The sequence below is a fragment of the Homo sapiens genome, chromosome 11 (assembly GCF_000001405.40).
Source record: "Homo sapiens chromosome 11, GRCh38.p14 Primary Assembly".
NCBI lineage: Eukaryota > Metazoa > Chordata > Mammalia > Primates > Hominidae > Homo > Homo sapiens.
The window spans coordinates 56,618,336-56,634,379 of NC_000011.10; the positions used below are offsets into that span (position 1 = coordinate 56,618,336).

The 16,044-nt window shown below is 37.5% G+C and overlaps 3 pseudogenes, besides 1 other annotated feature; 1 reads left to right on the top strand and 2 right to left on the bottom strand.

The window, feature by feature from the left end:
• OR5AM1P (olfactory receptor family 5 subfamily AM member 1 pseudogene) lies at positions 1,411 to 2,475 on the bottom strand (annotated as a pseudogene).
• Positions 6,362 to 7,041: an enhancer, noted in NCBI's record as "NANOG-H3K27ac hESC enhancer chr11:56392173-56392852 (GRCh37/hg19 assembly coordinates)". NCBI's record gives its function as "activates a minimal SCP1, AML or CMV promoter by ChIP-STARR-seq in primed H9 embryonic stem cells {active_cell/tissue: H9 hESC(primed)}" and the evidence as "EXISTENCE:reporter gene assay evidence [ECO:0000049][PMID:30033119]".
• OR5M12P (olfactory receptor family 5 subfamily M member 12 pseudogene) lies at positions 10,598 to 11,565 on the top strand (annotated as a pseudogene).
• On the bottom strand, positions 14,828 to 15,767 carry OR5AP1P (olfactory receptor family 5 subfamily AP member 1 pseudogene; annotated as a pseudogene).

The following is a 16,044-nucleotide window of genomic DNA, read 5'->3' on the forward strand; positions in this document are numbered from 1 at the left end:
CTCTGCACCTGTGGGTATATCTCGTCAGGTGGGATGAGAGACTGAGAAAAGAAATAAGACACAGAGACAAAGTATAGAGAAAGAACAGTGGCCCCAGGGGACCGGCGCTCAGCATATGGAAGACCTGCATCGGCACCGGTCTCTGAGATCCCTCAGTTTTTATTGATTACTATTTTCACTATCTCAGCAAGAGGAATGTGGTAGGAGAACAGGGTGATAATAGGGAGAAGGTCAGCAAGAAAACATGTGAGCAAAGGAATCTGTGTCACAAATAAGTTCAAGGGGAGGTACTATGCCTGGATGTGCACGTAAGCCAGATTTTTCCTTCTCTCCACCCAAACATCTCAGTGGAGTAAAGAATAACAAAGCAGCATTGCTGCCAACATGTCTCGCCTCCCGCCACAGGGCGGTTTTTCTCCTATCTCAGAATAGAAGAAAGGTGCAATCAGGTTTTATACCGAGACATTCAGTTCCCAGGGGCAGGCAGGAGACAGAGGCCTTCCTCTTATCTCAGCTATAAGAGGCCATCCTCTTTTACTAATCCTCCCGAGCACAGACCCTTCACGGGTGTCAGGCTGGGGGCCGGTCAGGTCTTTCCCATCCCACGAGGCCATATTTCAGACTATCACATGGGGAGAAACCTTGGCAATACCCGGCTTTCCAGGGCAGAGGTCCCTGTGACTTTCCACAGTGCATTGTGCCCCTGGTTTATGGAGACTGGAGAATGGCGATGACTTTTACCAAGCATACTGCCTGTATACATTCTGCTAACAAGGCACATCCTGCACAGCCCTAGATCCCTTAAACCTTGATTCCATACAACACATGTTTTTATAAGCTCAAGGTTGGGGCAAAGTTACAGATTAACAGCATCTCAGGACAAAACAATTGTTCAGGGTACAAGTCAAAATGAAGTTTCTTATGCCTTCCTTTTCTACATAGACACAGTAACAGTCTGATCTCTCTTTTCCCTACATCAGTGATCTTTATTGTTGCATTATCTGTATAAAAGAAAGGAGAAAACTTCATATACTATGTTTGAAAGGTGTCTAGAAAATAGTTTGGAAGTTATTAAGTACTATAAAAATGTAATGAACTGTAATTTCCATTGCATTCTGTCTTTTATCGTTTGCTACCAATATGAGTACTAAAGAAGGAATCACTGTTCTTTATTGACTTTTACATGCCATAAGTCTTCTATTTAAATTTCTATGATTTCTTCTTAAATTCACTGAGATGACACTGTCAACTCTAGCTAATAATTTGGTATACACTTTCAATTCCCATATGCAAGTTACAAAAGACAAAAAACACTCAATGACAGAAAGTGATTTGTTAATTTATAATGCTCGTTAATTGGTAAGATAAAAATAATGTATTACATAACCTGCAACTAAAATATCTACCTTACTTAGCAAACAGTTTCTTTTGGATAACTTCCCTTATTGTTCTTTTAACATTTTTATTCCTCAGACGGTAGATCAATGGGTTTAACGTAGGACTCACAAAGATATAAAAAGCAGCTACAATTTTCCCCTGTTCTACAGATGCCTCAGAAGGGGGCCTCAGGCACATGTGAAACAGCGTTCCTTGAAAGACAGTGACGGCAGTCACAAGGGACCCGCAGGTGGAGAAGGCATTGTACCTTCCCTCAGCAGTGCAGATATGCAGAATGTCTGTGAAGATGAAAGTGTAGGAAATAAAGATGATAGTGAGAGGGCAGATGAGGTTGGAACCAGCCACCATGAACATGGCAGTTTCTTTGACATAAGTATCCAAGCAGGCGAGGACTAAGAGGGGTGGTTCTGCATAATAAAAGTGGTTGATCTCCAATTTTACATCAGAGTCAGCCCTGGGAGATGCTTCATACTGAGAAAATAATCATGACCTTATATGCCATAATAAGAATATGGAAACTTGGATCAACAGGTTCCTTTCTCCCATTGTATATACTTTCTGGGTGGTATTCTCTCCGTTAATATGTATTTCTCCCTTCCTCTCCAACCGTCCATTCAAAAATTTATAGTGGAATTAAATGTGCATATAATGCATTTTCTCCAAAAAAAAAAAAGTGGTTGATCTCATTGGGTTCACAGAAGAACAGACAAAGCATCAGGATGACCTGTACCAGACCATTTGCAGAGCCATAAATATAGGGAGCAGCAGTGAGACAGAGGCAGACACACCTGGACATTTTGCTTCCATATAACAAAGGCTTGCAGATGGCCATGTAGTGGTCATACACCATCACTGTGAGCATATGATAATCTGTGATCACCAGTGCAATGAAAAGGTGAAATTGGATAAAGCAACCAATAAAGGAAACGGTTTTTCTCTTGGAAAAAAAAAGTTAACCAGCATCGGAGGAGTGGCATTGGTGGCATAATAGAGATCTACAAAGGAGAGATGACTGAGGAACAAGCACATTGGAGTGTGTAGTGTTGAATCACTTCTTATTAAGAAGCTCATGCTCACACACATGGACACAGGAAGGGAAACATCACACACCAGGACCTGTCAGGGGGTCGGGGGCTGGGGGAGGGATAGTATTAGCAGAAATACCTAATGTAGATGACAGGTTAATGGGCGCAGCAAACCACCATGGCACATGTATACCTATGTAACAAACCTGCGTGTTCTGCAGATGTATCCCAGAACTTAGAGTATAAATAAATAAATAAATAAAAATGAAAAGGTGCTCAACACACTAATCATCAGGAAAATGCATATGAAACAAAAGCATGATATCACATTTGTTATGATGGCTGTTACTTTATTTTAAAAAAATCCAAAAGACAACAAATATTGGTGACATATGAAGAAATTGGAACCCTTGTACAACATTGGTGGGAATATAAAATTGTGCAGCCACTATAAAAAACAGTATGATGAGTCTTCAAATAATTAAAAATCGAATTATCATATAAACCAGCAATTGCACTTCTGGGCATATATCCAAAAGAATTTAAATCAAGCTCTTGAAGAGACATAGGTACTCTTATGTTCATTGCACCATTATTTACAATAGTCCAGATATAGAAACAACCTAAATGTCCATTGAAAGATGAAGAAAATGTAGTACACACATGTAATGGAATATTATTCATCATTAAGAAAAAGAAGAAATCCTGTCATATGATGAACCTGGAGGACATTATGTTAAGTGAAATAAGCCAGGCACGGAAGGACAAATACTGCATGATTAAATTTATATGAGGAATCCAAAATAGTCAAACTCATAGAAACAGAGAATAGAAGGTGGTTGCAGCGGCTGGAGGAAAGGGAGAAATGGGGTGTTGCTGTTCAGCAGGTATAAAGTTATAGTTTTGCAAGAATAAATTCTAGAGATATGCTGTATATCATTGTGCCCATAGGTAACAATAGGTATATTGTTAACAGTTAAAAATATTGTGCACTTAAAAAAAAAAAAGAAGATCATGCTTACATTGTGATTACTGTGATAAGGTAGATGACTAAGAACACCACAAAAAGAAGGGGCTGAAGCTCAGCTCGATTTAAAGAAAAGGAAATTAAAATGCATTTAGGTTTGTCATTTATGCATTAACCCAGTGGTGTCACCTGATATTTCTTCCTCTTCTCTCAAATTTGTAAATACATGTGTCATTAAGAAATAGCCTAGTAAGCATGAGATTGATGTTTTAACATCAAAAATAATGTAGAATTTCTTACATACGAAGGCAGTTATATTTAAAATGGTTTTCTGTGGTTCTTTTCTGCAAGTCTTTTGATAGTTAAAGAGCCTTATCTTTTATTATTTTGCAAGTCTTTATTATATGTGTTCACTTAGACTTCTCTTGAACCCATGGTTGTAAACATTGCTTTTATTTGAAATTGTAATTCTTTGTTTAACAACACAACTTTGAGTGTGGCATGTAATGTATCAGCCCTTGAAACTCATCTATTTTTATCACAACTGAATGTGCTTAGGAAAGTGGAACTGCTCCATGGTACGTATCTGTATAGAACTAGGATCTCTTTGCCTACCTATCTGACTCTGGAGCCCAGGCTGTTGCGTCCCAGTCTGTTGTTGAATCCTCCATAGTCTGGTGAATGTAGATGTATTTTCCCTTTTCCCCGTTCCATTGCAATCTACTTATTATATCAATCTGCTTATTATATCATTTGCTTATTATTATATCATTTGCTTACTATATCTGCATGGCCACTTACATGGGATAAACGTTGTTTACCCTTAAACGTATCATGTCCGTGTCTTTTCTCTCCCCTCGCACTTTCCCCACACAGAACATTTTTGGCGGCACGAACAGGATCCAAAAGCAAAAGCAAAACATGCCATTTTTCGGCCACAAGGACCAGGCTGGAAGCTCGGGGACTTCCCATATCCCGGGATGGGAATGCCCCCAGTTTTCCTCTTTGGCGATTGAATGGTCCAGAGTAACTGGCCTTTGTGAGAATTGGGAATCTAAATTAGTGCATTTTAAACCATTGGCTGTGTGTGAACTTTCAAAGTTCTTTAATGAGTACAATTTATCACCTTAAGTGACGAAACATAATGTTTTCACCAAACACTAAAACATAATTTCTTCCAACATGTTTCATCAAGGTTTGAGAATAGCTTGGCTTTATGACTTAAGTGTTACAAAATGTAAAAAATAACATTGCATTAGAGCTTTCACACATTTCAATAAACCAGGTAGAACGGTGTTTTTCAGAATCACAAAGTAAAGAGTATATGCAGGATTTTATAACTGTAGCAGGAATTTTGTTCACCCTGAAAAGTGTTTCTGTTTGTTCTTCACATGCTAATGGAAACTGGTATGTAAATAATTTGAATGTTTCTCTCTCTTTTCCAAAAAAGACTTATAGTGAACAAAACTTTAATTGTTGCAAAAGCTTGTGTCTATATGTCAGGACCCAATTACATGTTACATGAACTTGTGATCTATGGCTTTCTTTTACAAAGCAGCTTTGGACTTAAAATGGTCAATGATTGAAATAACTCTTTTGGTTTGTCTTTCTCTTTAGGTAAATATCCAGTCATTAAAATTTTAATCCCTTTTTCCGTTCTGTAACTTGCGAGGCCTCTATTGGTAAGGAAGGGAGGCCTAGAAATGCATCCAGTTGCTGCTCTCCGGTCTTTCTTGACCTCTAATCTGCCTGGTGACAGTTTTGCTTTGCTGTCATCCACCATGATAAATGTACCTCAGAGTCATTTCACTCTCTTGGCTGAATATAGCCATAGCCTTCTTATCTTCCCTGATGACCCAGTTGCACCTTGGTTTTAAAGACTTACAGACCTCCCTTAGGTCTGCCCCTTATATCCATTCGGAAATGGCCTGGGAAGTCAGCTGTGTAGGACTCAGCTTCACTGGTGCAATACGTCCAGGTCATCAAATCTTAGCTATTTGCATGTTCACCTACTAGGGACATGCTGGAAGTTTGGAAGTTTAAGTACTGTCTATGCCACATGGAAACTGAAGAAACTGTGGAAATAGCTGTGATCATAGCTGCCCAAATAAGCTAATCCCAAAGTTGACTTTGCTTTAGCTACTCAACAAGTTGATTCAGGGCCAAAGCCTGGGCAAGGGAGATTGGGATAGCTTGTCTCAGAGAAAGCTTCTAAGTTTTTTTGTTGTTGTTGTTCCTCTCCATTCATTAGTGTGTCCAGGCCGAAGAACCAGGACTTGGGTTTGGATTTTCTCTCTGTCATAATCTACATTTTTTAACGTCAAAAATTAACGGTACTAGAGCGCAGGAGAGGAAGATTGTTTTAGCCCTAATGAAAGATATAATACTATTATATTATTTTATTTTTATTTATAATAGTATTATTATGAATCTGACCCAGAAGTAGTAGGACTTTGATTTCAAATGTTAATCTACTTCAGACCCAAAGATTAAACATTATATGAATTAACATATCTCTGCAATCATAAATTATACATATCTTTGTATAAGTAGCCCATGGCAGTAAGTGTACTTGAACTAATTTTGTTTAAACTAATTACCACTGTTCAGTTATTTACTCAATAACCCTTCACCAAATATTAACTGTACACCCAAAGTGTTGTGCAGATTTCCATAGGAATTATCAAGATGAAATTGATGTTAGCTTTATCCTCAGAGCATTTACAATTCATAGGAGTAATAGAATAGTTATAAAAGAAAGCATATATTGCAAGAGTGGCAGAAAAAACCAACAAAGGTTTTCAGAAAAGCAAAAGACTATTTTAGCTGAGGATATAATGTGCAGAGTCACGGCAAAAGTCTTTTGATTACCAAGAATGGAACACCTTTCTATCTGCTCTAGAATTAATCCCAACATCAAAATCTGTACCAAGTGTTTTTGCATTTACTGAAAGATACTATGTACATCTAAATTAGGATTCTATCCATTATGATGTGACTTTTGTAAACGCCTCCAGAGGGAGCCCTAATGATATCCTGTGGGTTTCTTATCTAATGCTTCAGGAATGAGTCTACCGAGATTAGTCATTCAGTATAAATCCTCCCACACTGGGGACTTTTGAGTAGGATAAGAAATTACTATTCCTTCACAAGTAAGTCTGACAGTTCTGAGAATCAAGAACTCATAAGAAATTTGTGTGATTTCCTATTTCCTCTTTTGAACATAAAATGAAATTAGTAGTGGCCATAAGAATTGTCATGGTAAAACAAAACCATAGACAGACAGGCCTCAGACTCTCTGATGAAGACAACAGGTAACTAGTGATATACGAGGAGGTCAGGCAGGCTCTGCAAATAGCCCTCTCATTAGTTACAGATCCATTATTCATGACACAGCTGAGACTTAGAGTAGGCTTACAAGTTGAGTTTTAGTCAAATCTTGGAATTCAAAAACATACATTTTTCCACTAACTTGTTTACCTTCTCCAGAACTAGAGCCTTAGAATTTGGCACAAGAAAATATACTCTTCTATGTCTTTAATTACTTAATACAATTATTACTAAGAGGAGAGTGTCAAGAGAATTGGATAAAAATGAGGGTAAGGTTAACGGTGAGAAGGAAAAAAAAAAGTGAACACATTTCCATCGTCATTTCTAGGAGCTTTTCTTAGGTTTCTTCAATTCGGTTTTGCATTGGAATATGATGGCAATGCTGTGTCTGAGCTCACGCTTGTAATCCCAGCATTTGGTGAGACCGAGGTGGGTGGATCACCTGAGGTCAGGAGTTCGAGACCAGCCGGGCCAACATAGCGAAACCTTATCTCTACCAAAAGTAACAAAAAAAATTAGCTGGGCGTGGTGGTGGGCACCTTTAATCCCAGCTATTCGGGGGCTGAGGCAGGAGAATCACTTGAACCAGGGAGGCAGGGGTTGCAGTGACCCGAGATGGTGCCGCTGCATTCCAGCCTGGGCAACAAGAGAGAAACTTCATCTCAAAAAAAATAAATACATAAAAGAAAAAGAAAAATAGGTTTGCATTATTTTGTTCCAAGAGAATACATTTTTCTGTCCTTTGCCAACACTGCTATGGATTTATGGAGCTTTCACCTGATGTGTCCCACTTGGCAGAATTTTTCAGAAAATACTCTGCATGGCTTGAAGTTGTGTTTTTTCCTCCTGCATTGTACACAGAGCTTTAACTCTTCCCTGCCCTAAGCATAGTTTGGTTTCTTTCCAATAGTTCCATTATTTAAAATAGAATAATTTCATATATTTAATGATTATTCTCTTTATTCTTCCCATTTTCTTACTCATCTCTCTCCTGACGTGACAGAACACCACTGAATGAAAAGTGAAAGCTGTTGGAATTTTCAACAATATGAGATATGTCCATCTGGTGTTGGCCCATGTTACTGTGGGTTATGGTATGTGATGTGTGAATGAAAATATCTTAGACGTCATTCACCACAAACCATCTGCAATGGCATTTTTAAAAGTGTGAACATTTTACTGGGAATTATAACATAGCCCTTTTTTCCCATTCCCCACATTAGCTCATAACTTGAAACATAACTATGTCAAGGTCTACTTTCACAACTGGTGATATATAGGAAACACTCTTTTCATATGTATCCCATAAATCAAACCCTGGGCTGTATGTAATCAACAATTGGATGGTGTAACCCTCTATAATTTCATCCTTTGCCCTCTGTTTCTTGGGTGTGAGAAGACTTGAGATAGGATCATGAAGCCTCTCAGAAAGATTTTCTTTTCTTAAGCTTTCTAGCACCAACAGAATACTGTAAGGGATAACATCAGATAGTGGGATACTTTATTCCAAACCAATGAAGGAAAGTTTTATATGCATTGATGATGGCAAGTTCTATATTTGGGGGCTGGAAAAAAGACTTTGTGGGACAATATCTCAGAATCTACTGTAAGGGGAAAGTGTAAGCTATCGGGGTAAAATCACGTGAAAAAAAATCTTGTTTAATACAAACAGGCCATTTCAGTTGTCTTGTTCAGAGCTTTCAATGTTGTCTGTGCATTACAATAGAATGAAAGTTTGTTAAAAAGTATCATATCAGTTAGGTACAGCAAACCACCATGGCACACATTTACCTATGTAACAAACCTGCACATCCTGCACATATATCCCGGAACTTAAAATAATATTTTATATATAGATATATATATGTCATTATTAATTCTATATATTATATATACTAGTTACATATATATTTGTGTGTGTGTGTGTGTGTGTGTGTGTGTGTGTCCCACCTGGGTTGGGCTAGAACCTAGGTATCAGTGTTTTTAAAAACTCCAACTTGATTCTCATGTGAAGCCAGGGCTGATAACCACTGAACTAAATGTTAGATTTGTGAATATGTGATACATAAACTAAATAAAGCAATATCGTTTTTCCTTAAAAGGTATGAACATTCTGTGTCCTCTCATCCTTGCAAAATTTTCTATAGTAATTAAAGACAACTCATTTTTGTAGCCTTGAGTCAACTCCCACCTAATTTCCAACAGTGCAAACTGAAAGTTTTAACTATTAATATGTTAAGTTTTAGCTCAGGCACCATTATCACTAGCTTTGTTACTAAAACAAGCCCCTAATGATCTCTCTACCACTAATTGCACTCCCTTCCATACATTCTTCACATGGTAGCTGGAATTTTTTTGTAGTAACTTGGTCTCTACTGATAACGTCTGAAAGGTAAGAGATCTGCATACCATGAAATGTCAGCTGATGTGAGTTGGCAAAGTGAGCTCATTAATTCATACATTAATGGTTACTGTGAATCTACTATGATTCAAGCATTAGTCCAGGTTCTGGGGATATGGCACAAATGATGTTCCTGTGCTCATATAGCTAACATTTTGGAGGGAACAGACAATGAATATTTAAGTAAATGATTTCAGAAGTGATAAATGATATAAAGAAAAATAAATCATGATTCATGATTAAAAAGGTATTTGAAATAGAATGAAGTGATGAAATGAATCACTCAAAATCTGGGAAGGAATTGGGCAGAGGGAGCTGAAGTAGGAATATTCTTAGCATGATCAAGGAACAGCTAGAAAGGTCAAGGTAGCAGGAGAAGAAGGACAGAAGAGAAAGTGGAAAGAGAAGAATTTGGAGACACGGGTGGGAAGACGTCACGTAGGTCCTTGTGTGTCCTGGCGAGAAGTTCAGATTTTAGCCCATGTGTGATGAAAAATCTTGAACCCTTTTACCAAATTTGTAATAGGTTGTGATTTATGTTTATAAAATATAACTGGCTGGTGTTGGAAAACAGATAATTTCAAGAGTAGAAGAAGGAGCTATTGTAGTAGCTTAAGCAAGAGATAATTTTATCTAAGACCTGACTGGTAGCAAAGAAAATGCTGAAAAGTGGGTTTAAAATTTATTATGTAATTTTTTGAAGATAGACCTGAGAAGACTTTCTGATGGGTCAGATATAAAGTGTTAAGTCAAAGGTGTAGGATAAATTGAAATATAAATATAAACTAAATTGGGATGTTGTGAGATAAAATGAGATTTATGAAATGAAAGGGGATATTAGGTGAAGAAACAATCTAAATTATCCATCAATTGTTGCTTTGGACAAAAAACGTTAGGATGGACAGAACACCAAGGGACCAGGAGAAGTCCATTGTTACTGGGGAGTAAGAAATGAGGAAGAAACTGAACCTAGGCATACATACCATAGACTCAGGAAATATGTGTTCCTCCAATGCACAGAAGGTTTACCTTTACTGGCAACGATGGAGCCAGTCTACAGGGAGTTACTCGTTAGCCGTGTTCCCAGATCAAGCATTTGTGTCATTATCAGACTGTGGTGGTCGCCTTTTTGAGGATAAAGGATCCTGATTCCACAGCCTATTTAGGGACACCAGTAAGCTACATCAAATCCCATATGTGTTAGCAGAGTTGAGGTGGAAGAAGCCAAAACAGCCAGCACAATTTGGTGCATAAACCTCAAAATCTCCTGTATTGTCTGCTTTAACCAGAGCCACAAACTACCTGAAAGCATCTATCGAGACTTTTCCATCTCTAAGGGAAATATTGCTTGCAATTCTCTTTGCAACACTAGTTTGTTTCAGTGCTCATTGATTTTGCCTATTCTTAGATTGCATATAATTTATTTCTCTTTTTGTATCTGGCACATTCTTCTTTTCTTATTAGAGACTATGAAGATGAAGATAGATCCCAAATGCAATGGCACGGAGGTAACTGAATTTATTCTGTTGGGACTGACTAGCCAGCCAGAGCTGCAGCCTATGCTCTTTGTGGTATTCCTCCTGATTTACCTCATCACCCTGACTGGGAAATTTGGGATGATTTTCCTAATCAGATTCACTCCTCAGCTCCAAACCCACATGTATTTTTTCCTTACTCATTTAGCATGTGTGGATATTTTTTACTCCACTAATGTCTCTCCACAGAGCTTGTTAATTTCTTATCTGAGAAGAAGACCATTTCCTACGCTGGGTGTCTGGCCCAGTGTTTTGTCTTTGTGACTCTGCTCCTTACTGAGTATTACATGCTTGGTGCCATGGCCTATGACTGCTACATGGCAATCTGCAATCCCCTACATTACAGCAGCAAAATGTCCAGAGCAGTTTGCATCTGCCTGGTGACTTTCCCCTACTTCTGGGGTTCTATGGTGGGCACGATGCAAGTAATACTGACCTCTCGTTTGTCCTTTTTTGGACCCAACACCATCAACCATTTCTACTGTACTGACCCACCCCTCTTAATGTTGACATCTTCTGACACTTACATAAAACAAACTGCCTTGTTTGTGTCAGCAGGGATTAACCTCACAGTTTCCCTGCTCATCATTCTCATCTCCTACATTTTCATTTTCATCACCATTATGAGGATCCGTTCCAGTGAAGGGCAGCTCAAAGCCTTCTCCACCTGTGGCTCCCACCTGACAGCTGTCACTATGTTCTATGGGTCCCTATTCTGCATGTACCTGAGACCAACAAATGAGCTGTCTGTTGAGCAAGGGAAAATGGGAGTGGTGTTTTGTATTTTTGTGAGTCCCATGCTGAACCCGTTTATCTACCGCCTGAGAAACAAGGATGTGAAACAGGCCTTGAAAAGAGTGTTTATGAGAAACCTTGGTAAGACGAAGAAAAATTCAGTAACTACAGTTTCCCAATAAGAAATAAATGAGTCTCTAAAAAAATCAAAAAGTGACCTTCATTGGTTCTACCTAAATGCAATTCTCTGGAATAACAGTGATATACTTTTGGATATGCATAGCTTAGGATCAAGTGCAAGTCTAATGGGAATAATGAATGTGAAAGTTGTTTGGAAGTGATGATTGATAGGAATCACCACAGCAGAAGTCAGCTGTTTATGATTAAGCAGGGTCATATGTTTAGTCTTACTCAAGAACTTATTTCTACTTGATTAGTCAGCAGATATATTTTTCCTTTCACTACCTTGGTCACCAATATTGGGCATCTCTGAGCTACTCTTATCAGCAAAGTGAAATTATTTACAACACGTTTTCTGAATAAGAAAATGATTTACATTCATATGATATATTGCAGTTTCCTCTACTGAAAGATGATTATCTTCTCAAAAAAAATCTTGCAATTCCAGATTTTTCTTACTGTAGCTTTGGTCTATGTCTACTTAATTTGAAACTTAATTTGAGATGCAAAGAAGAAAACACATGAAGCTTTCAAATCTAGACTATATCGAAAAACCAAAGAAGCAAGAGCTGCATTTTCAAGGTTTTAGTCTAAAACTCAAGTCTTCTGTCATACTTTATGGCCTTTTTCGTGATTCTCTACTGTATAAGGGGGACCTGGCTGTTAGTTTAATCCCAATATTTACAGTCACTATCATATTTATATTAAGAAGGTTCTGACGTCTGTATTTTATTTTTAAAAATGTTAGAATAAGTCAGTAATCAGTGTGTTTAGTAAAATAAAATGTAATGACCCACACTGCTAGTTGGGCAAATGCTGACCATTATGTCAAAAGCAAATGTGAAATACACTGGCCATACTTATTTATTTTTACTTTTTTTTATGTTTGGGGGCACCTGTGAAGGTTTGTTATATAGGTAAGCTAGTGTCATGGAGGTTGTTATATAGATTATTTCATCACCCAGGTATTAAGCTCAGTACTCAATAGTTATCTTTTCTATTAGAAGAACTCTATGAAATGTGACAGACAGTGTTGTAAACATGTTTTGTTAAAAGGAGCCTATAAATTACATCATATGGAAACACATCTGGTCCATCAACTAATCGAGTGAGTTATTTTAACCTTATTTTTGAGGTCTAAACAGCATAAAGCATCATTGCCTAGGCTTAAGAGTTTGTTAATGAAAAAAACAGTGGGAAAGCAAGGAATGTAATTTTACTGAATAAACGTATTGTGGACTCTAGCCACTATTATAGAGCAAGATTTCTCCTGGTAATTCATGACCCCACCCCTCTCACCAACATACACATACATATACAAATACACACATACCACACACACACAGAGCTAACAAACACATGAGCCATTTCAGGCAAGAACAGTTCTTTCTAAAAACAGACACCTTGCCTGTAATGCAATAATTCTGAAAATGTGTCAAGATGAGTATATAGTGTAAAGAGCCTGTGAACAGGAAAAAATCAATCCATAATATGAGAAAATAAATGAAAGGGTTGGCATCAGAGAGACTGTTCTAATTCTAGGTCTATGTCAGTTTGATTAACTTTTTGTCCTTTCATGGAAAAAAGATGAATATTCTATTACTATATGGTGAAATCACATTTGTTTTATGTAAAATTAAAGATACAAAATACTAAAATTTTTTTGTTTATCAAAGTTTTTACTTTCTAAGAACACAGGACAACTTGCTTTAAAAGGACTACACATTATCTGACAGATTACCCAACCAGATATAATAGAACTTTCAATTCTAACACTGACTTTTTAAAATTGAGGTTATCGAAAATGATTTTGTCTTCCATAGTCCTGTGCCTTCTATTGGAATTATGTTCTCAATTTAAAAACTCTTATTGATGGGCTACTATGAAGGCATGGAGATGTATATAAGTACATTTCATTTCTCACAGAGCTCTCAGACTATGTTAGGAAACGTTACATTGTATTATTATTACTATTATTAGCTTTTGTTTCTGAGACTAAGAGCTGATTAGAGTTGTAATATCTACAGAATCACAGGAATATACACGTGTAGTTGTCTACTTTGGGAATGACAATGAAAATAATGTTTGTGCTGTGTCTTGAAATATGAAGGTCTTTCAGGAAGAAGAATGGGGAGATGGGCAAAAGCATTGATTGAGCAATACAATTGTGTATTTTTAATGTGCAATGTCTGAAAGCAGAATAAAGACAGATCAAATTATAATATTGAGGTACAATTTCTCATCAAAAATAATATGCTGTAACTGAAAGCAAAATTATTGCTTAGGTACTTTTAAGTGGCCACTTTTCCATTTAGATGACAATGAGTCTTTGAATGAAATCATCTACTATGATCATACAAACTATATTTTATCCAATCCCCTCCATTTGGAAGCATTTATTGTTCACATGTCCATGATCACAATCTGCAAAGAAAACATAGTCCTACTTAGAAGATATCTCAGTTAAAACTACCAGTCAAATCGCTGAAAACTTTGAACTTACCCAAATAAAATTGCATCTAGTAGCAAAATAGACATGTATGGTTATTTGCTAAGGCATTAGAGAAAGAATGTGCATCTTACCCTAGTTCTTGAAGGTTTAATCATTTCCACATGTAAAGATCAAACAACCTGACACTTTACATACAAGAATTATGCAGAATACCTCTTTCCCAACCCCAGAAACTTCTGCTTCATAATAACTCTTAGCATTCTTAATCGTTGTTTTATTCTTATACTTATCCTGGAGTTTATTCTCATTATTCTTGCTACATATTCTTTCTTTAGGTTAAGAACACTGGACTTCAGCCCCTCTCTCATTATTTAGTTCTGGTATTTCTCTCTGGTTCACTAGGGGAACGGCATAGTTTCCAAGCCCTGTTTCGGTGTCTGGACATTTTCTGGCTCAGCTTATTCCTCATAACTTCTTTAGCAGTTCAACCATCATCCAATCAAAGAGCCATCACACATGGAAGAAGGTAGAATTGCTCCTTTTGCCACTCAGTCTTTTTCTGTCTCAGCAATCTTTATACTGGGTTTTATAGCTATGAACATGGTGTTGAACTGTGATAGTTGGTTATTTTTGAGATTGGGTTATGTAGAATAAGTGGGAATTACATAGAGTGGCCATATTCTCCAGGAAGCTTGGAACAGTTAGTCCAACTCCACTATCGGGGAAAAGCCTCATGGCAGAATGAAATGGAAGTAGATTTGGTCATTTGTAAGTTTCCTTAGAGCCCTGACATCCTATGGCTTGATGATTCTAAGTAGAGATATAAGAGACTGTTTTAAACATTTTACTTAAAGAAGCTTTGACTTCCTTGTTTCTCAAACTATAGATGAAAGGATTCAACATGGGGATGACTACTGTGTAAGACAGACACCACTTTGTCTTGATCCATTGAGTAGCTGGAGCTGGGACGCAGAGATACATGAACAGGATTGTCCCAAAGAAGATAGTGACCACCGCCAAGTGGGAAGCACAGGTGGAGAAGGCCTTGTGCCTCCCTTCTGCAGAGTGGATCTTCAAGATGGCAGCAAGGATGTAGAGACAGGAAACAAGAATCAGTAGGAGACAGCTCAATTCATTAAAACTGGCAAAGGCAAAAATGACAACCTCATTGATGTGTGTATCAGAACAAGAGTTTCAGGAGGGGTGGAATATCACAAAAAAAATAGTTAATGATATTGGAGTGGCAGAATGACAGCTGGAAGGTGAAGCCAGTGTGAATGGCAGCATTTACAAAGCCCAAAAGATATGTGGCTAACACCAGGAGGGCACTGAGGTGGGGTGACATCAGGACTGTATAAAGCAGAGGCTTGCAGATGGCCACATAACAGTCATAGGCCATGACAGCCAACAGAAAACCCTCAATGCCAGCAAAGGAGCCAAAAAAGAAGAATTGAGTGGCACATTCATTAAATGAAATGACTGGGTTCTCCACCCAGAAATTTATCAGCATATTAGGGGCAATGACAGAAGAATAACAGAAGTCAACAAGGCACAAGTTACTGAGGAAAAAGTACATTGGAGTATGGAGATGTGAGTCAATCTTGATTAATAGAATCATGCCAAGATTTCCAACAACGGTGAACATATAGATGAGAAGAAACAACACAAAAAGAAGACACTGTAATTCTGGGTGATCCGTGAATCCCAGGATAATAAATCCAGACAGTGGTGTAAAGTTTCTCATATCTTAGTCTCAGAATAGAAGACTCATTTGCTGGGATGAGAAACAAACCATGATAGATATGTTAATATGCCAATCTGCCTCACTATAGTAACAACTGTATTAGCTATATGTATCTATGTGTAAGTATACATCTATATGAGCCCCACAGCATAACGTGCTAATCCTCAAATATACACAATAAAATTTACTTAAGAGAGGAACAAATGAAATAAATTATACCCCAAAAACCTAGGATATTAAATAGTTCATTCTTGACTGTAAATAAGATTACTTCTAA